At 41.6% G+C, this 22397-nt stretch overlaps 1 protein-coding gene and 1 pseudogene across 18 annotated transcripts in view; one reads left to right on the top strand and one right to left on the bottom strand.

Annotated features, from left to right (window-relative positions):
- The window catches only part of NVL (nuclear VCP like), a 102828-nt gene that overhangs the window by 18296 nt on the left and 62135 nt on the right, over positions 1 to 22397 (top strand). For 8 of the 18 annotated variants that reach the window (NM_206840.3, XM_017001383.2, NM_002533.4 and 5 more), the window contains 9 exons: positions 20 to 77; positions 3614 to 3886; positions 6711 to 6843; positions 7065 to 7141; positions 8020 to 8154; positions 11214 to 11315; positions 15259 to 15376; positions 17466 to 17610; positions 22144 to 22393. In NM_206840.3, the coding sequence (NP_996671.1) occupies positions 54 to 77; positions 3614 to 3886; positions 6711 to 6843; positions 7065 to 7141; positions 8020 to 8154; positions 11214 to 11315; positions 15259 to 15376; positions 17466 to 17610; positions 22144 to 22393 (1257 nt within the window). In that variant the 5' untranslated portion in view covers positions 20 to 53. Of the gene's footprint in view, positions 1 to 19; positions 78 to 3613; positions 3887 to 6710; positions 6844 to 7064; positions 7142 to 8019; positions 8155 to 10105; positions 10187 to 11213; positions 11316 to 15258; positions 15377 to 17465; positions 17611 to 22143; positions 22394 to 22397 lie in introns of all 18 variants that reach the window. The other 10 variants (XM_011544196.1, XM_017001378.2, XM_017001380.3 and 7 more) reach the window with 4 other exon arrangements.
- Positions 6394 to 6497, bottom strand: RNU6-1008P (RNA, U6 small nuclear 1008, pseudogene; annotated as a pseudogene).

Below are 22397 nucleotides of genomic sequence, written 5' to 3'. Positions count from 1 at the left end.
TTTCCCTCCTTTTACTGAGGTATACTGAAAGCTATTCTGATGATGATTCAAGTATGGAAGACTACCCAGATCCACAGGTAAGCCAAACATTTAGTGGGTCCACTTAGATTTTTTCTTTTTTAGTTGTTATGGTACCTCCCTTGAAAAACTCAGTATTAGCTGGACATGGTGACTCACACCTCTAATCCCAACACTTTGGGAGGCTGAGGCATGCAGATCACTTGAGCCCAGGAATTTGAGACCAGCCTGGGCAACATGGCAAAACCTTGTCTCTATAAAAAGTATGAAAAAATAAGTCTGGCCAACATGGTGAAACCTTGTCTCTACAAAAAATACAAAAGTTAGCCGGGCATGGTGGCATGCACCTGTGGTCCCAGCTACTTGGGGGGCTGAGGTGGGAGAATCACTTGAGCCCAGGAGGTCAAGGCTGTAGTGAGCTGCAGTGAGCCGTGATTGCACCACTGCACTCCAGCCTGGGTGACAGAGTGAGACCCTACCTTTTAAAAAAAAAAATAAGGCTAGCTGTCGTGGCTCACGCCTGTAATCCCAGCACTTTGGAAGGCCAAGGAGGGTGGATCACTTTAGCCCAGGAGTTTGAGACCAGCCTGTGCAACATGGCACAACCCCATCTCTACCAAAAAACCCCCCAAAATTAGCCAGGTGTAATGGCTTGCACCTGTGGTCCCAGCTACTCAGGAAGCTGAGGTGGGAGGATCACTTGAGCCCAGGTTGCAGAGGTTGCAGTGAGCTGGGATTGCACTACTGCACTCCAGCCTGAGCAACAAAACCAGATCCTGTCTCCAAAAAAATAAATAAATAAAAATCAGTAAGGAATAGAATAAAAGGCCAGGGGTTATGGCTCACGTCTGTAATCCCAGCACTTTGGGAGGCTGAGGCAGGAAGATCACTTGAAGCCAGGAGTTTAAGACCAGCCTAGGCAACCTAGCAAGACTCTGTCTCTACAAAAAACAAATAAAAATTAGCTGGATCTGGTGGCATACACCCATAGTCCTAGCTACTCAGGAGGCTGAGGCTGGAGGATCGCTTGAGCCCAGGAGTTTGAGGCTGCGGTGAGCTATGATTGTGCCATTCCACTTCAGCCTGGGCGACAGACCTTATTGCAAAAGAGAGAGAGAGAGAGGAGAAGGAAAGAAAGAGGGAAAGAAAAAAAAGGGTTAGGGCTAAAGGGAGGGAGAAAGGAAGGACAGGGAATAGAATAAGAGACTTCGGAAGTCTTCATCAATAAATAATTGAACACTTTCTGTGTTCAGTGTTGGTGATGGATTAACCATCCTTCCAGTATTTATGTTTATAAGTCAGTTATACAAGGAAAAAGAAGGGAAGAGAATAGCTAGAAATAAGGGCAGACAAGAATAGAGTAATTAATAGTAAAAATGGAAAAAGGGATATACTTTTTGTCAAGGAGATGGCATTAGTAATGAAAAGGCTTGATTAAAGGAGAATATGGAGATAATATAGTCGGCCCTCACTATCCATGGGGGATTGGCCCCAGAGCCCCACATGAATACCTGCAAATGCTCAAGTCCCTTACATAAAATGGCATCATGTTTGCATATAACGTTATATACATCCTCTTGTATACTTTAAATTATCTCTGGATTACTTGTAATAATACAATGTAAATGAGATGTAAATAGTTTTTACACTATATTTCTTTCTTTTTTTTTTTTTTTTTTTGCGAGGGAGTCTCACTCTGTCGCCCAGGCTGAAGTGCAGTGGTGTGATCACCGAGGCTGGAGTGCAGTGGTGCGATCTCGGCTCACTGCAGCCTCCACCTCCCCAGCTCAAGTGATTCTCCTGCCTCAGCTTCCTGAGGAGCTGGAATTACAGGCAGGGTCTCGCTCTGTCACCCAGGCTGGAGTTCAGTGGTGTCATCTCGGCTCACTGCAACCTCTGCCTCCCAAGTTCAAGTGATTCTCGTGCCTCAGCCTCCTGAGTAGCTGAGATTAAGGTGTGCGCCACCACACCTAGCTACTTTTTGGCATTTTTAGTAGAGATGTGGTTTCACCATGTTGGCCAGGCTGGTCTTGAACTCCTGGCCTTGAGTGATCCACCCACCTTGGCCTCCCAAAGTGCTGGAATAACAGACATGAGACAACATGCCCAGCATACACTTTATTTCTTAAAATTTGTATTATTTTTATTGGTGTACTGTGTTTTTTAATTGCTTTTTATTTCCCAAATATTTTCCATTGAGGTTCATTGAATCCCTGGATGCAGAACCCTTGGATATAGAGGGCCAACTGTTTGTCAAATTATTTATAATTTGCTTTTTATTTTTTCCCTTGGTATATAAGTTTTGAATATATTATCAAAATATTTGATCCAGTTTTCACGGGGACAGGGTCTCGCTCTGTCACCCAGGCTGGAGTACAGTGGCATGGTCCTAGCTCACTGCAACCTCAAACTCTTGGGCTCAAGTTGTCCTCCTACCTTAGCCTCCCAAGTAGCTAGGATAACAGGCATGTGCCACCATGCCTGGGTAAATTTTAAATTTTTTGTAGACACAGGGTCTCGCTGTGTTGCCCAGGATGGTCTCGAACTCTAGGCCTCAAGCAGTTCTCCCAGTTTGGCCTCCGAAAGCATTAGGATTACAGGGCGTGAGCTACCACGCCCAGTCCCAATTTTGCTTTGATGGAATAACAGTGACTCTCATTGGCAACCAGCTCATTTTCATACTTCTTTAGTGTATTTTTTTTCGAAGCAACCATACTTACTTTATTTTATTTAACCACCAATTATGAATTGGTTTCCATTGGAATGGAGTGAAGTCTTTTTTTTTTTTTTTTTTTGTTGAGACAGAGTCCCGCTCTGTCACCCAGGCTGGAGTGCAGTGGCGTGATCTCGGCTCACTGCAAGCTCCGCCTCCCGGGTTCTCGCCATTCTCCTGCCTCAGCCTCCCGAGTAGCTGGGACTACAGGCGTCCGCCATCACGCCTGGCTAATTTTTTGTATTTTTAGTAGAGACAGGGTTTCACCGTGTTAGCCAGGATGGTTTTGATCTCCTGACCTCGTGATCCGCCCGCCTCGGCTTCCCAAAGTGCTGGGATTACAGGCGTGAGCCACTGCGCCCGGCCGAGTGAAGTCTTTTTGAATAGTAAATGCTTGTTTGTGAGTCATCTTATTGTGAACACCCATATATTCTTTTCTTTTTTTTTTTTTTTTTGAGATGGAGTCTCACTCTGTCACCCAGGCTGGAGTGCAGTGGTGTGATCTCGGCTCACTGCAACTTCCGCCTGCTGGGTTCAAGTGATTCTCCTGCCTCAGCCTCCCAAGTAGCTGGGATTACAGGTGCCTACCACTGCGCCCGGCTAATTTTTGTATTTTTACTAGAGACGGTGTTACACCATGTTGGCTAGGCTGGTCTTGAACTCCTGACCTCAAGTGATCTGCCCACCTCGGCCTCCCAAAGTGCTGGGATTACAGGCATAAGCCACTGTGCCCAGCCTAACACCTATATATTCTGATTATAAATGTTCTGAGAGAAGTTGTTAAAAAACAAAATATAGAAAACTTATTACTATAGGCAATACAACTTTTATGAGTACCTGTTGAGTAATTTATGCTACAATTTTGTTTTATCTTTCTGCCAGTCAGCAAATCACATGAACAGTTCCCTGCTGTCTTTATATCGGAAAGGAAATCCTGATTCTGTTTCAAATACTCCTGAGATGGAGCAAAGAGAAACCACCTCTTCAACACCACGGATAAGTTCCAAAACAGGCTCCATTCCCTTGAAGACCCCTGCCAAAGATTCTGAAGGAGGATGGTTTATTGACAAAACCCCAAGTGTAAAGAAAGACAGTTTTTTCTTGGACCTGTCATGTGAGAAAAGTAATCCTAAGAAGCCAATAACTGAGATACAGGTATTTTTGTAATGAAATTTTAGCCCCATATCATCGAAGTACATTTCAACCTTTTAGTTGAATATAATATCAATCAGATACTTGTGTTTTGTGGAAGGCATAGGAACTTTAAAATATATGGAGAATTTGATCACATTGCACTGCTTTCCATTCTTTCTATCCTAGTCTAAGCCTTTTCTCATTCTTGACTTAATTATTGAAACAGCCTTCTAGCTGGAGTCTGTGTCCTTTCTTGTTCCCCTAGTTTATTCTTTACACAGAGAGATAGCTTTTTTTTTTTTTTTTTTTTTTTGAGACTGGGTCTGGCTCTGTCGCTGAGGCTGGAGTGCAGTGGTGTGATCTTGGCTCATTGCAACCTCTGCCTTCCAGGCTCAAGCCATCCCCCACCTCAGCCTCCCATGTAACTAAGACTACAGGCATGTGCCACCACACCTAGCTAACTTATATCTTTTCTAGAGATGGTGTTTTGCAGGGTTGCCCAAGCTGGTCTTGAACTCTTGGGGTCAAGCAATCCACCCGCCTCGGACTCCCAAAGTTCTGGGATTGTAGGCGTGAGCCACCACATATTATCATTCTTCTATTTAAAACCCTCCAGTGGCTTCATTCAGTTTCAAATCCAAAGGCCTGTGACAGCCACTAACGTCCTTTATGATTTCGCTGCCTGACTTTCTTTTCAGTTTCATCTCCTACCACCCTGTTAGGTATGTGAATCTATTTCCTCAGCTGTAAATTTTACAAACTCTAAGTACAAATCAGGTGTTTCCCATGAAAATTTAGGGTCCAAATTGAGATGTGCTATTAACTTAAAGTGTACATTAGACTTTGAAGACTCACTAAAAAAATAGAATGTAAAACATCTCATTAATAATATTTTATATTGACTGTTGAAATGATAATATTTTGGATATACTGGGTTAAGTAAAATAGATTATTAAATGAATTTCATATGTGGCTCACATATTCCTCATGGACAATGATGCTTCAACTGATTTCTAAGAACCAAGCCCTTTGATTTGGCAGAACCTTTCCCCTTTTTATTTATTAATAGGCCTTTCCAAATCTCTTTGCTTTAATTATCCATATCATCCATCTATAGGGAACATTGTTATGGTTGGCAAGAACTCGAGTCTTAATGCTGAAATACTTTTTTTGGTTTGAGACAGGGTCTGCCTTGTCACCCAGACTGACATGGTGGAGTGGCATGATCACGGCTCACTATAACCTCCACCCCCTGGGCATAAGCCATCCCCCCACCTCAGTCTTCCAAGTAGCTGGGGACTACAGGTGCCCACCACCACACCTGGCTAAGTTTTGTATTTTTTGTAGAGATGGCGTTTGGCCATGTTGCTCAGACTGGTCTTGAACTCCTGAGCTCAAGTGATCCACCCACCTCAGCCTGAATCATACTTAAAAACAATTTTTTTTGGCCGGGTGCAGTGGCTCACACCTGTATTCCCAGCACTTTGGGAGACCAAGGCGGGCAGATCATGAGGTCAGGAGATTGAGACCATCCTGGCTAACACAGTGAAACCCTGTCTCTACTAAAAATACAAAAAGTTAGCCAGGCGTCATGGCGGGCGCCTGTAGTCCCAGCTACTTAGGAGGCTGAGGCAGGAGAATGACGTGAACCCGGCAGGCGGAGCTTGCAGTGCGCTGAGATCGTGCCACTGCACTCCATCCTGGGTGACAGAGCGAGACTCCGTCTCAAAAAAAAAAAATTTTTTTTTAAGAGTTGGAATATTGCTACATCACCCAGGCTAGAGTGCAGTCACTTTTCACAGGCTTGATCACAGAACACTATAGCCTTGAAACCCTGAGCTCAAGTGGTCCTTCTGCCTCTCAAGTAGCTGGGGCTACAGGTGTGTCCCAGTGTGCTTGGCTGAATTACACTTTGTTATGACTGTCAAAGCAGCTCTGTAGTTATATTTAATTTAGTGAATCATCAGCTGTCAGATGAAGACAACTATATAGAAGACTCAGTGAGAAATAAAAGGCAAATATCAGTGTCCTTAATCAAGGAGCTCACAATTCAGTGAGAAAGACAGAGATAAGTGAATCACTCATACAAGGCAGATTATTCCAACTGATAATAGCTGCAAATGCAGTGTCTTGGGAATGTGAGGACAAGATTAAATCTAACTGAAAGAGGGCCGTGCAGGGCGGCTCACGCCTGTAATCCCAGCACTTTGGGAGGCTGAGGTGGGCAGATCACCTGAGGTCAGGAGTTCGATACCAGCCTGGCCAACATGGCAAAACCCCATCTCTACTGATAATATAAAAATTAGCTGGGCATGGTGGTGGGCTACTTGGGAGGCTGAGGCAGGAGAATTGTTTGAACCTAGGAGGTGGAGGTTGCAGTGAGCTGAGATCGCGCTGTTGCACTCCAGCCTGGGTGACAAGACTGAAACTCTGTCTCAAAACAAAAACAAAAACAAACTCTAACTGAAAGAATCTGGAAAAGAAGCGGCATTCAAATGTTAAGATTTCTTTTTTCTTTTTTTTTTTTTCCCCATATGGGATGCTTCACAAATTTCCATGTCATCCTTGCACAGGGGCCATGCTAATCTTTGTATCATTCCAATTTTAGTATATGTGCTGCCAAGGCCAGCACCAAATGTTAAGATTTAAACTGAGCTTTAAGGGAATGAGGAGAAGGACTTTCACAATAGACAGCATCTTTGAGCAAAGAGATTGGGAATAGTTAACAGAGGTGAAAGTGCTAGGGCAGGAATGAATTTTCTTTACAATGCCCCTCTTTAAAAAGTAAAACAATTATTGGCATAGAATTTTAAGCATGGCATATTTAAATTTATTTTCTTTCCAGGATTCAAAAGATTCTTCTCTTTTGGAGAGTGATATGAAACGGAAAGGCAAGCTAAAGAATAAAGGAAGCAAAAGGAAGAAAGAAGATCTTCAGGAAGTAGATGGAGAAATTGAAGCTGTCCTGCAAAAGAAAGGTAAGGTGTGAGTCTTGTTGGTGGCAGTGGTCATGTTTGCAGTGAGAGAAGCATCATTCTGTCCCAAGCTATTTTGCTTGAGGGACCTTCTATGTGCAGAAATGTTTACCAGGAAATATTTCTATATTTAATGGACCTTTGTTTACTTAAAGACTATTCATTATAATTATGAGTTACTACTGAATCATTAATCTTTTCATCTCCTCATTTTTGTTTACCAGCTAAAGCCAGGGGGTTAGAATTCCAGATCTCCAACGTGAAGTTTGAAGATGTGGGAGGCAATGATATGACATTAAAAGTTAGTGCAAATTCTGAATTTTACCTCAAATGGATATATTACTAATCAGTTATGAGGAAAAAGCCTACCTCTTTGTTTCTAATATGATCTGGGTGTAGAAAAGGAAACTGGGAAGGTTGAGAAGGGCAAACCTGACCTGTACCCTTTAGGGCATTGCAGGAGAAAAGATGCATACTATTTTGAACTTTTCTATTATTTTAATTATAGTATATATAAGATCCATGCTTTATAAGTAATATTGTCTTAGCAATACTAATAGTAATGGTAACTTTATTTTTATTTATTTTTTATTTTATTTTATTTATTTATTTTGAGAAGGAGTGTAGCTCTGTCACCAGGCTGGAGTGCAGTGGCGCGATCTTGGCTCACTGCAACCTCCGCCTCCCAGGTTCAAGAGATTCTTCTGCCTCAGCCACCCGAGTAGTTGGGTTTACAGGCATGTGCCACCACGCCCAGCTAATTTTTGTATTTTTAGTAGAGACAGGGCTTCACCATGTTGGCCAGGATGGTCTTGATCTCCTGACTTCGTGATCTGCCCACCTCAGCCTCCCAAAGTGCTGGGATTACAGGCGTGAGCCACCATGCCTGGCCGTAATGGTAACTTTATTTTTAATGCCTACTCTTTTTCATCTGCCATGCTAGTTAACTTTGCATTACATCCTCAAGGTATATAATGTTACAGCTTAGGAAATAGCTCCTCAGAGAGGTTATTGCTGAAATCACACAGTAGGTACCAGAGCCAGGATTCAAAGTCTGATCTAAGTCTAAGGTGTATATTCTACCTATCTACTCCATTTCACTGCTCCGAAAAATAGGACATTTCATTCTACTTTGATTGTTCTGTCTTGAAAGACATCTTTGTGCTTATCCTCTGCTAGGAGGTCTGCAAGATGCTCATACACATGCGTCACCCGGAGGTGTACCACCACCTGGGCGTCGTGCCCCCTCGTGGAGTTCTCCTTCATGGACCACCAGGCTGTGGGAAGACATTACTTGCACATGCAATTGCTGGGGTGAGGCTTGCTGACATTTGTTTGCTTTTGCTGTTTTTGTTGTTATTATTTGTTTTTGTTTTTTCTCTTTGGTCAACTTAAACCAGACATGGCATTCTTCAGGAAGAGAACATAGTCATTGGAACTGATCCCTTTGTTATCATGCTGGTATTATTTGTGGAATTTATTCATTTAGTTTATTTATTGTTTCTCACGAGCAACTTGAGGGATTTTTTTTTTTAATGTATGTAATTGTTTATATGGCAAGAGTTAGATAAAAAGTAAAATAATACAGTTTTTTTTTTTTTGGAGACAGAGTCTCACTCTGTCACCCAGGCTGGAATGCAGTGTCGTGATCTTGGCTTACTGCAACCTCCGCCTCCCGGGTTCAAGCAATTCTCCTGCCTCAGCCTCCCCAGTAGCTGGGACTACAGGCATACGCCACCACGCCCGGCTGATTTTTTGTATTATAGTAGAGACGGGGTTTCACCCTCTTGCCCAGGCTGGTCTTGAGCTCCTGAGGTCAGGCAGTCCACTTGCCTCAGCCTCCCAAAGTGCTAGGATTACAGGTGTGAGTCATCGCACCCGGCCATAATAATACGGTTTTAAACAAACCTTTTTATTAACACATAGCTTACATTTTAGTTACTTTGCTTTCCCTTTAACCCAATAGTTATTTCAGTTTACTTATTTTTTTGAGACAGAGTTTCACTGTCACCCAGGCTGGAGTGCAATGGTGCAATCATGGCTCACTACAGCCTCAACTTCCCAGGCTCAAGTGGTCCTCCCACCTCAGCCTCCCGAGTAACTGGAAACACAGACACATACCACCACGCCCAGCTTATGTTTTTGTTTTTTTGTAGAGACGAAGCCCACTATGTTGCCTGGCTGGTCTTAAACTCCTGGCCTCAAGCAGTCCTCCTGTCTCAGTCTTCCAAAGTGCTGGGATTACAGGCATGGGCCACTGCACCTGCCCTCCCAGTGGTTCTAAGGAGCAGTAAAATAAGAAAACTAGGGTTATATTATTTTTCATATAGCTAAATTTATTCAAAATTTTTATTTAGAGTCATGTTCTTATACTTTTTAGTTTTAAAATAATTCTTTCTAAAATGGTAATAATAGACACTTACTTTGAGAAATTAAAAGTTAGCAATCTTATTTTAACCCTCTCAGATTTTTCAGAAACTGTAGGGGACAGTAATGTAAAATATCCGAGTAACTTCGATTAGAAAAATAGCATGCTCGCCGGGCGCAGTGGCTCATGCCTGTAATCCCAGCACTTTGGGAGGCCGAGGCATGTGGATCACCTGAGGTCGGGAGTTCAAGACCAGCCTGACCAACATGGAGAAACCCCCATCTCTACTAAAAATACAAAATTAGCCGGGTGTGGTGGCGCATGCCTGCAATCCCAGCTACTTGGGGGCTAAGGCAGGAGAATCACTTGAACCTGGAGGCGGAGGTCGCGGTGAGCCAAGATCATGCCATTGCACTCCAGCTTGGGCAACAAGAGCCAGACTCTATCTCAAAAAAAAAAGAAAAAAGAAAAATAGCATGTTATACCAAGCGCTAATACAATAATGTTCTATGAAAGAAAATCATTTGTAAAGGGGGACTTGATTGGTTTGCTTCATTTTTGTTTAATAATTCCATTACATGACTGACTACTGCATGCCAGACTTTGGAATATAGTGTTAAGTACCACAATCGTAGTTCTAATATGAGAGAGACATTAAACAGTCATTCATATAAATAAATGCTGTACATAATAATGACTATAATAAATGGAAGACAAGAAGAAGTGCAAAATGGTATGTGGTATGTTAGGATTCCCAAATTAGAGTTGGGTTCAAGGAAGGTATGGTTGAGGAAGTGAAATTTCAAGATAAGCACAAGAATGGGAGAACAGTAGTCTCTCTTCTCTCTTTTTTTTTTTTTTTTTTTTTTTGAAACAGATTTTCTCTCTGTTGCCCAGGCTGAGTGCAGTGGCATGATCACAGCTCACTGCAGCTTTGACTTCTCAGGCTCAAATGATCCTCCTGCCTCAGCCTCACAGGTAACTGGGACTGCAGGCATGCATCAGCATGCCTGGCTAATTTATTATTTTTTTAGAGGTGGGGTCTCACTGTGTTGCCCAGGCTGGTCTCAAACTCCTCTCAAAGTGCTGGGATTACAGGCATGGGCGTCCACACCTGGCCTCTTCTTAAAGAGTCTCCCTCCTCTGACTAGTAACTGGCTACTCTCTGGGTTAGGATTTGGAGAAATACTAGCAGAATGTGTGGGAAACATCTGTGTCACAACCCTTGCTATTTTCTCCTTAGCAGATGGGTAAGAATTGTTTTGATAGGCCAGGAATGGTCACTCCTGTATCCCCAGCACTTTGGGAGGCTGAATTGGGAGGATGGCTTGAGGCCAGGAGTTTGGGACCAGCCTGGGCAACATAGTGAGACACAGTCTCTCCAAAAAAAACGAAGAATTGCTTTGGCTCAGCCCTAAGTGGGGATAACATACCTCTTGAAAGTCAAGACCCTTTATTCAGAAAAGATAATAGAATTTTATAGTGACATGTATAAAATAAAAACAAGTTGAAGGTATCCACTTAAATGTGTTTGCATGAAACCGTTGATTTTTTTTTTTTTTGAGATGGAGTTTTGCTCTTGTTGCCCAGGCTGGAGTGCAATGGCGCGATCTCGGCTCACTACAACCTCCGCCTCCCAGGTTCAAGCAATTCTTCTGCCTCAGCCTTCCCAAGTAGCTGGGATTATAGGCATGCACCACCATGCATGGCTAATTTTTGTATTTTTAGTAAAAATGGGGTTTCTCCATGTTGGTCAGGGTGGTCTCGAACTCCTGACCTCAGGTGATCCGCCCACCTCAGCCTCCCAAAGTAGTGGGATTATAGGCCTGAGCCACCATGCCCGGCCAAAACCATTGATTTTCAAATAGTGTTTTTCACTGGGCCAACATAAAAAGATGAAGTTCCTCAGGAAACTAGCTATTTAAAAAATTTGAGGGGACTGGATAAGAAAAAGTAGGGAAATTAAAATTTGAATATTTGGTTATTCTTTTATGTGTCTGCATAGGAACTTGACCTGCCAATTTTGAAAGTGGCTGCTCCAGAGATTGTGTCTGGAGTATCCGGAGAGTCTGAGCAGAAGCTGAGAGAACTATTTGAGCAAGCTGTGGTGAGTCAGTTAATGACTAATGCCAGGTGGTCAGACGCTACCAGCTTATATTAAAGATCCTGCTTTTTCTGATGCTAGTATTTGTTAACCCACTCACTGGCCATTCTTTTATTAATATAAACATGGTAATTTGCTATGCATGATGGCTAAATATTTAAAGTAGATTTAGTGATACCAGCTGTTGGATAAATAACCCTTTTCATTTGAAATCAAACATAAATGTAATTGGTGAGAAATTCTGGGCCGTCATACCCTGTAGTCATATGTTGAAAATATATTATCCTTATGATATTTTCCACTCACTTTTACTTTCCTCAACTTAAGTTTGGCCAAAAAAAACTTGTAAGCAATGTAAAAATTGTTATTTAGGCTATTATAAAAGCAACCATAAAAATACCAGAATAAATTCTGTCATTCCTTACTAGTAAACTAGGGCAATAATAATACCCAAATCTCACGTGGCTATTGAGAGTATTAAATGAGAGAATTCTTATAAAACCTTCGATATGGTGCCTTGCACACAGCACAAGCCCTGTAAATATTAGCTGTAAGATTATTCACACTTGAACAAATATCACTGTGTTTAAAACTAAAAAATGGTGAAAAGTTTATGTCATTATTAGCAATGACAATATATAGTAGCTGATGAATATCCAATACAACTGTTAGAAGCCTGTGTGAAATTAGAAGAGAAATTATATTTAAGCAGTAATTGAGAAAAAAAAAACATTTTAAATAACAAGAATGGGTAGGCCATCTACTTAGTTATGGTGCGGGCTGACGTTGAAAAAGCTGTGGGCAACACTAGGAGGATAAAGAGAAAAAAGGTGGAAAGGGCAGAGTGCAGAGCAAAGCTGAACTTTCTCAGGTGCTACCTGTTTTCCAAAACGCGGTGGATTCCATTGTTAAATTGGCACGCATAGCCAGAGACAAGTAGTAAATTTTGTGCGTATGGTAAACACGATGAATAAGGATAAGAGGCAAATGGCATCTTTAGGTTGTTAGTTCTGTGTTTAAACCTCTCACTAAACCAGTACTGAGCCAGTACAGTACCTCACAGTAGATGCTCAGTAAATATGTGGCCTAGCACCCCGCTTTTCCTGGTCCCCTCTTCGCTAATGAGAATGAGTCCAGTAAAGCATGTGGATCAGGAAACAAAAAGGTGAAATCCAATCAAGTGATACTTGGTTGAAAACTATGCTTTCTTTAGGCCACATTCTGATGACCATCATTTATTCTTTTTTTTCCCCCATTCAACTTTCCAGGTCACTGACAAGTACTGATGTGCTTGTTTTCTGGTGCTTTTGGCCTCTGTAATTTTACTCCTTTGTAACTGGGTAATATATCTAGCAGTCATAGGCGTCTTTTGCAAACATTGTCATAAGGATGATTAGGGAAGAGATCCAGCTAGCGATAAGCTAAATATCTTTCCCTTTAAGATGTGGTTGTTCCCATGGTTTTGAGATGCCTTAAGCGACGCTGACAGCCTTACTTAGCATAATCACTGTCACTCCTAACCATTGAGTAACTGATTGAGTAAAATGATTTAGATTGTAAATCTAGATAATTTTCTTCAATTTTTTTCATTTTAACTGATCCTTATCTCTTTTTTGTGGTAAAATATATATAACAGAATTTACCATTTTAAACATTTTTTTAAGTTTTTGTAAATTATTTTATGTCTTCCATGATGATTTAGAGGGACTATCTTCAAACCAGTACAGATATTTCATAAATAATACCTGGCTGTTTTCTAACCAACTGAGTAATTTGTTGCATAATAAGCCACCTCACATCTTTCAGCAAGAAATACATTAAATTTGAATAGTAAAGATATTACACAATGAATTAGGACAACAATTTAAATTTGCTTTAAATGTTTCTTTGCGGAAGAGGACACTACACTTCTACTCAATGAAGAGAAACATTTTTACAGTCCAGAGGTCTTTTATTACCACCTATTATGCCATGAATTCACAGGGAAGAGGCTCCAGCAGTTCAGGCTCCTTCCTATTGGTTCTCAGAGTGCACTTCTCTGGGTGGAGCATGCTGACACTTTCCCTTTGGTTTCCTTTTTCTGATCATTTTCCTCCATGTGTTTCAGAAAGCTACCTCGGCTCCTAGAATGCTTAATGTGCTCAATATGCACGTTGATTCTCGCACACATTGATTCTCTTGGCAAGAATCTTGCCCTTAACTTGTTTCTTTACAACAATGCCAGCAGCATGCTGGATAACGTTATAGACTCTTCCAGTTTTGTGGTGGTAACACTTGTGGGACATTCCTTTTTGAACAGTACCCATTCCCTTGATGTCTACAGTATCACATTTCTTTTTCTCTTCTCTTCTTTTCTTTTTTGAGACAGAGTCTCGTTCTGTTGCCCAGGCTGGAGTGCAGTGGGACAATCTCAGCTCACTGCAACCTCTGCCTCCCGGGTTGAAGCAGTTCTCTTGCCTCAGCCTCCCAAATAGCTGGGATTACAGGCATGCACTACCCACCAGCTAATTTTTTTTTTTTTTTTTTTTGAGATGGAGTATCTCTCTGTTGTCCAGGCTGGAATGTCTCAGCTCACTGCAGCCTCTGCCTTCCAGGCTCAAATAATTCTCCTGCCTCAGCCTCCCGAGTAGCTGGGATTACAGACATGCACCACCACACCTGGCTAGTTTTTGTATGTTCAGTAGAGACGGCGTTTTGCCATGTTGGCCAGGCTGGTCTTGAACTTCTGACCTCTGGTGATCTACCCGCCTTGGCCTCCCAAAGTGCTGGGATTACAGGCATGAGCCATGGCGCCTGGCCTACAATATGACATTTCTTATAGATTTGCATACATATAGCCAAAGGAACAGCTCCATGTTTTCTGAACGGCCTAGAGAACATCTCTCAGGTGCCTCTCCTCTTTCTCTTTGTGTTCATCATTTTGGTGAATTACTGGAAGATGGCAGTTCCAACTGAAAAGGCCATTTTAAACATTTTTAAGTGTACAATTCTGTGGCATTAAGTACATTCATATTGTTGTGTTATCATTACCCCCATCCATTTCCAGAATGTCTTCATGTTCCCAGACAGTAAGTCCCCATTCCTCTCTCCTACCAGTCCCTGGCCATCACCACCATTCTACTTTTTGTCTTAATGAATTTGACTACTCTCGGTAGCTGATCCTTACATCTTAACTTATTCTTTCTGAACCGTGTCTAGTTTATTTCTTAAAAACAAAAAAACTGGAGGTGATCTTTACACTGATGTATTAGAACTTTACCATCCTTCCTTATTCAGTGTAGCCTTTAAAATAAGCTTCCGGTACTTTTCAGTGTGGATGCTGGGAAAGTTCTGGAGATGGATAGTGGTGACGTTTACACAACAGTCTGAAAATATTTAATGCCACTAAACTATATACCCAAAGTGGTTAGAATGGTAAATTTTATGTATATTTTACCACAGATTTTTTAAAAAGCTTCTGGTGCTTCTCAAATTTCCTCTTATAGCAAATTATAGGGAAAGACTTGGAGATTCTTACGTTAGTAGAAACCCTCATAACGTTTCTAGTGAGCTTGGGTTTGCTAATTTAAAGTTTATAAACTTGTTGTCTTAAGTTTTTTTTTCTGTGCATATGCTTATCCAAAATCATTGTTTCTGTTTCATAGCATAGCAAATGTATCTAATTTACAAAAGAATTTCAGTAGATTTATCACAAAACATGCATTGATGAAGAGACTATAAATGTGTTACCCTATCTGCAGTCTCTTACTGTGTACTTCTAATCATCTTGGTTCTCTTAAGTCAGGTAAAAATCAGAAGTAACACATGTGAACTGCCTTCTTTAGGGTTATTCTTTTGGCAAATGATCCTTGACCTTGAAGATTTTTTTTAAAATGTATATGCTTAATTGTGCTTCAGTATAGGGGATGCATTTATGATTGTCTTTTTGTGATATTTTTATTTCTAGTCAAATGCACCATGTATCATTTTCATTGATGAAATTGATGCTATTACCCCCAAAAGAGAAGTGGCTTCAAAAGATATGGAACGAAGAATTGTAGCCCAACTCCTAACCTGCATGGATGGTTAGTTTAAAATAATAAATTCATTTTAAGAGAATAAATTTTTTAAAATAGTGTAATTAATACATGAAGATAAAAAATAATATTCATATAGTAAATATCAAATAGTGTAAAAAAAAAGTCATACTGGGCACAGTGGCTCATGCCTGTAATCCTAACACTTTGGGAGGCTAAGGTAGGAGGATTGCTTGAGCCTAGTAGTTTGAGGCCAGCCTGGGCAACATAGCGAGATGCTACCTCTAAAAATAAATAAAAAGAAATAGCACTTGTTTTGTGTACACAAGAAAATTTGAAGTATATATTTTATGTTCCTTGCATTACCAGATTGTAGGTTGCTTCTTCTTCTGATTGATGGACTGATTGATTGATTGATGAGATAGAGTGTTGCTCTGTCACCCAGGCTGGAATGCAGTGGCACAATCACAGCTCACCGCAGCCTTGACCTCCTGGGCTCAAGTGATCCTCCCATTTAAGCCTCCCAAATAGCTGTGACCACAGGTGTGCACCACCATGCCTGGCTTTTTTTTTTTTTTTTTTTTTTTTGAGACAGAGTCTCTGTTGCCTAGGCTTGAGTGCACTGGCATGATCTCAACTCGCTGCAACCTCTGCCTCCTGCGTTCAACCTATTCACCTCCTCAGCCTCCTGAGTAGCTGGGATTACAGGTGCGTGCCACCACACCTGGCTGATTTTTGAGACGGGGTGTTTCCATGTTGGCCAGGCTGGTCTCGAACTCCTGACCTCAGGTGATCTACTGGCCTCAGCCTCCTGAAGTGCTGGGATTACAGGTGTGAGCCACTGTGCCTGGGTGTTTTTTTTTTTTAAAGACGGTCTCACTATGTTGCCCAGGCTGATCTCGAACTCCTGGGCTCAGTCTTTCTGCTTCAGCCTCCCGAAGTGCTGGGATTCTGTTTTATTTTTATCTAAAATTTTCTTGCCATGTCTTTGAGGCCTGCATTCTGAGAAAATGCTTTCATGGCTTCCTGCTAGCTAAAGAACACACTGTGGCTGGGCGCAGTGGCTCATGCCTGTAATCTTAGCACTTTGGGAGGCCGAGGTGGGTGGATCAGGAGGTCAGGAGATCGAGACCATCCTGGTTAACACGGTGAAACTCTGTCTCTACTAAAAAATAAAAAAATAAAAAAATTAGCCGGGCGTGGTGGCGGGCGCCTGTAGTCCCAGGTACTCGGGAGGCTGAGGCAGGAGAATGGCATGAACCTGGGAGGCAGAGCTTGCCATGAGCTGAGATGGTGCCACTGCACTTCAGCCTGGGCGACAGAGCGAGACTCCGTCTCAAAAAAAAAAAAAGAACACACTGTATAAACTCCTCATGATTTAATTAGCATCTTACTACCTTCTTGTTACCTGTGAGGGAAAATAACCTCAGACTCCCTGCTGTTCAATCCTGGTTCAGCTGAGAGAAATAATACTTAGGAAAGATAAGATTTAAGTCCTCAGTTTTGTCCATTCCTAGAAATACATTCCTAGATTAAGCCAGAACAGCTGAAGACTATTTTGTATTCCCCTGCTCGAATTAATTTTATCAGTCTATTCTGAGACACAGACTTTGGCATCCTCCCCAGCCTCCCTGTTGTCCTGCTCACCTTGCCTGGATGTGCCATGCATGCTTGACCCTCTGTGCTTTCACTAATACTCTTTCTTCTACATAGAATTCCATTAGCCTATATATCTGCTTGTTAAAATTGTATTTACCCTTCAAGCCTTTTCTGAAATGTTACCACCTCCATGAACCCTCCCTTATTCCTCAGTTGGAATTCATGATGTCTTTTCTCTTATTACCATGGTGCTTTGTTTATATCTGTTATTATACTTCACAAAATTTGTCTGATGCCATTTTTTTATTTACACACTCAATGTTTCTCAATAGATTGTGAACTGCTGAGGACAGAGTTTGTATTTTATTTATCCTCCTCACACCTTTTACATATTTGACATTTAATAAATGTTGGTTTTATATGTATGTTGCTGTCAAAATCTGTAATACTTTATCTTTAACCATGAAATGATTCTGTAACCATTATTGCCGTCAGTGTCAAGTGCTTTGTTCACTACTCTTTCTCTGTCTCTTACTAGATCTGAATAATGTGGCTGCTACAGCCCGGGTCCTAGTTATTGGAGCTACTAATCGACCAGACTCGTTAGACCCTGCTTTGAGACGTGCGGGAAGGTTCGACCGAGAAATATGCCTAGGTATCCCAGATGAAGCATCCAGGGAAAGGTATATTCTTATAGAATGAAGTTTGTATGCCACTAAGTCATCTTAACTGAATGGTTTGAAAGTAAGAGGTGAGAAATACCAAGTAGCCTTTTCTTTCTCTCTCTTTCTTTTTGTACCAATTAAATTGATTTGGAAAAGGAGAAGCCCACATTAAGAAAATCATTTATGCCTGGGTGCAGTGGCTCATGCCTGTAATCCCAACACTTTGGGAGGCCGAGGCAGGAGGATCACTTGATACCAGGATTTTGAGCCTGGGCAACATAGTGTGACCCTGTCTCTACAAAAAATAAAATCAGCTGTGCACACACCTGTAGTCCTAGTTACTCAGGAGGCTGAAGCACAGGAGGATTGCTTGAGCCCAGGAGTTCAAGGCTGCAGTAAGTTATGATTGTGTCACTGTGCTCCAACCTGGGTGACAGAGGGAGGCCCCACCTCTGTAAAAAAAGAGGAAGAAAACAATTTACTCATCAGTAGGATAATTGTTTCAGGTTGTTTTTTCAGAAGTAGTAATGGACTTATGTATCCATACTCATTTGTCTGGTCTTATTAACAATGGCTTGCATTCTTCAGTTGGCTGACCAGGTTAGTGGCAATGTCTGGAGCTATGGCATACAGCAGCCATCTGGTCCACTTATAGGTTAAATCTGAGTACCATACTTTAACCTATTGCACTAACCTGTCTGAGACCACAGGTCCTGTTACCAGTAATGAAATGGCAGCCAGACAGTTGAAAGCTGTTTGCTGCAGTACCAGCCTTTCCTGGTAATTGAGCAAATGAGTAATGTCCATAGAGCAAATAAATATCCACCAATAACCAGAAATATAACTTCATAAGCGAGACTATCTCAGGAAGCACTGTTGAGGTGGTAGAGTGGAAATCTAGTTAAGAAATGTTCTGGGCCAGGCACGGTGGCTCACGCCTGTAATCCCTGCACTTTGGGAGGCCGAGGCGGGCGGATCACGAGGTCAGGAGATTGAGACCATCCTGGCTAACATGGTGAAACCCCGTTACTACTAAAAATACAAAAAATTAGCCAGGCATGGTGGCAGGCTCCTGTAGTCCCAGCTACTTGAGAGGCTGAGGCAGGAGAATGGCGTGAACCCGGGAGGCGGAGCTTGCAGTGAGCCGAGATGGCGCCACTGCACTCCAGCCTGGGCGACAGAGCAAGACTCTGTCTCAAAAAAAAAAAAAAAAATTGTTCTGAAATATTAGGTCGGGTATGGTGGCTCACACCTGTAATCCTAGCACTTTGGGAGGCCGAGGCGGGTGCATCACTTGAGGTTAGGAGTTCAAGACCAGCCTAGCCAACATGGTGAAACCCCATCTCTACTAAAAATACACAAAAAAATTAGCCGGGCGTGATGGTGCATGCCTGTAATCCCAGCTACTTAGGAAACTGAGGTAGGGGAATCGCTTGAACCTGGGAAGTGGAGGTTGTAGTGAGCCGATGTCATGCCACTGTACTCCATCCAGCCTGGGTGACACAGCAAAACCCTGTCTCAAAAAAAAAAAGGTATTTAATGAGGAAGGGGTACACTGAAGATCCTGGTGAGGTCCAGGAACAGTGTGGGAGTAATTGCACATATAAGCTCAGACATGTGAGACTGGGCAGAGTGCCGCATGTGAGATTGTGATCTCAGATAGGGGCTAGATCCAGGTGATGACGAGGTCCAGGGTATGAGTAAGTGTAAGTAAGGAGGAGAAAGGCCAGACCTAGGCGGGACTGGGTTGCAGAGGCAATGAATAGATGCCCAAACTTTGAGCCAGTGAAGGAAAATTATTCCACCTCTGCCTCCTGTTATCCTTGGTCCTTGTCCAGTGTTTTTAACATTTCCAAGCTTTAGTTTATTTACCTATAATGCAGTAATAATAATAGTAATAACTTTATCTGTAAAGTGATCATAATACTACAAAGGCTTCCTGTGAGTATTGAATTAACATAACCTAGCACAATATCTGACATAGAGAATTTTTTAAATAAGGTAGCTATTGATAGCTGTCTCTTTTATTATTACTATTTTTTATATAGAGAAAGGGTCTCACTATGTTGCCCAGGCTCATCTTGAACTCCTGCCCTCAAGTGATCCTCCGGATATCATCCTGTACTTCAAAAGCATCAAATTATGGAAAAGTTTCAGCATACATAAAAGGAAACCCGTATAAATTGTTCCAGTTTCTATTGGTGTAAAACAGACCACACCAAAATTTAGTGTCTTACAGCAATACTCATTTTATTGTGTCTCACAGTTTCTGTGGATCAAGAATTTAGAAAGGCCTCAGCTAGATGGTTCTGCCTTGCGGTCTCACGTGGCTGCAGTAGCTGGAGCTAGAACAGTGGTAGCTTTCCCTTCTTTTGGAGTTTCTACAGTATGATGACCAAAAATACCCACTTTTTTTAGGGATAGAGTACAACTATGAAAAGGGCGATATTATTTTCTGTTAGCCATTTTCACAACATCCAAAATGTTCTTAGTACGGATAGTCCCCAACTGACAATGCTTTGGCTTATAGTTTTTCAACTTTACAAAGGGTTTATCATGATGTTTTTGACTTAAGATGGGTTTATCAGGAATGTAAACTCATGGTAAGTCGAAGAGTGTTTTGTATTCTTGTGCATAGTAGCAAATTGGATCTGTATCTTTTGGAAATAGTTCTTTAGTGGAAAGTTTTCTTGATTCCCATTATTCAGAGTATCCCAGTGAAATTTTAAAAAATTTGTCAGTAATGTTTATCTGCTTCTATTCTGCTCACTTATATGATCCCAAATGATTTTTCTATAATTTATTCTTTATTAGCTTGACATTTGAAAATATTAGTCTTCTTTACAAAGTTATTAATTTTAAAATATATTTCCTTGTCCAAGTTAGTTTATAATATCAAAATATGTAAATAAGAATTAACATTCATTGGCGCATGCCTATAATCCCAGCTACTTGGGAGGCTGAGGCAGGAGAATCGCTTGAACCTGGGAGGCGGAGGTTGCGGTGAGCCGAGATCGTGCCATTGCACTCCAGCCAGGGCAACAAGAGCAAAACTCCGTCTCAGAAAAAAAAAGAATTAACATTCATTGGGCACTAACTGTAGATCAGCCATTGTTTTATGTGCTTTGCATGTATTCATTTGTAGCAACAGCCCTCTGAATAAGTGCTACTATAATATAGATTGAATAAATGAACAAACTGAAGCACAAAGATTAAGTAACTGGCCCAGATAACAAAGGTTAACAGAGCTGGGATTCAGACTCTTGCAGTTTGGCTTCAGACCTTTCATCCTGAATATCTTTTTTTTAAATTATTCGAGATGGAGTCTTGCTCTGTCGTCCGGGCTGGAGTGCAGTGACACAATCTTGGCTCACTGCAACCTCTGCCTCCCGGTTCAAGCAATTCTCCTTCCTCAGGCTCCCGTGTAGCTAGGATTACAGGTACCCGCCCCCATGCCCAGCTAATTTTTTTTTTTTTTTTTTTGAGACAGAGTCTCGCTCTGTTGCCCAGGCTGGAGTGCAATGGCCTGATCTCAGCTCACTGCAAGCTCCGCCTCCCAGGTTCATGCCATTCTCCTTCCTCAGCCTCCCGAGTAGCTGGGACTACAGGTGCCCGCCACCACGCCCAGCTAATTTTTTGTATCTTTAGTAGAGACGGGGTTTCACCGTGTTAGCCAGGATGGTCTTGATCTCCTGACCTCGTGATCTGCCTGCCTCGGCCTCCCAAAGTGCTGGGATTACAAGGTGTGAGCCACTGTGCCTGGCCATGCCCAGCTAATTTTTGTATGTTTAGTAGAGACGGGATTTTGCCATGTTGGCCAGGCTAATCTCAAACTCTTGACCTCAGGTGATTTGCCTGCCTCAGCCTCCCAGAGTGCTGGGATTGCAGGTGTGAGCCACCGCACCTGCCCTCATCTTGAATATCTTTACTGCTTTTAAGTTTTTATTCAGTAGGTCTTATCAGAAATTGTTCAAGATATTCCTTTAATAACAATTATCTAGAAGTCCAGATGTTTATAGATACCATGTTGCCAGTTAGGTTGAACAAAATTTTCCACACATGTAGTACAGGGGATGAACAATAGGTAAAGATAAAGTTGGAGTTGTAACTGTCCTAATATGAAATGGGAAGTATATGGCAAGATAATTTTCAATGATGAAGATAATTAATGGTTTGTGTGTATGTGGGGGCTTTTATTTCTGGTAGATATCCATTTAATCTACTCTAAAAGTACCCCCATAAGTTATTTATCTTATTTCCCCTGTAATGTTGTAAATTCTTAAAGGCAAAATATTTTTTAAAAATTCTATGTATTCGTCACAGCACTTAGCATGTTTCCTAACAAAGCAGATATTTACCATAATCCTTTCTGGAATAAGATGGAACATGTAATAATGACAGCGTTTGTTGAGTGACTGAACTATTTGATCTTATATAGTATCCATTTTGATACCTTTGGCAGACGTGAAGGACTTCAAATAAATATAGTTGGTGACTTGTTTTTACTATTAGATCAGGAATCAGAAATTTTTTCCCCTGTCTTTTCTACAGAATACTTCAAACATTGTGCAGAAAACTGAGGCTTCCTCAAGCTTTTGATTTCTGTCACTTAGCACACCTAACTCCAGGCTTTGTTGGTGCTGATCTCATGGCACTGTGCCGAGAGGCAGCAATGTGTGCAGTCAATAGAGTCTTAATGAAGCTACAGGAACAGCAGAAGAAAAATCCTGAAATGGAAGATTTGCCATCTAAAGGAGTCCAGGAGGAAAGGCTGGGAACTGAGCCCACTTCTGAAACACAGGTGC

Source organism: Homo sapiens, chromosome 1, assembly GCF_000001405.40.
Source record: "Homo sapiens chromosome 1, GRCh38.p14 Primary Assembly".
Taxonomy (NCBI): domain Eukaryota; kingdom Metazoa; phylum Chordata; class Mammalia; order Primates; family Hominidae; genus Homo; species Homo sapiens.
Note: the sequence above shows the minus strand (reverse complement) of the source record. Positions and strands in the feature narration are given on the sequence as shown.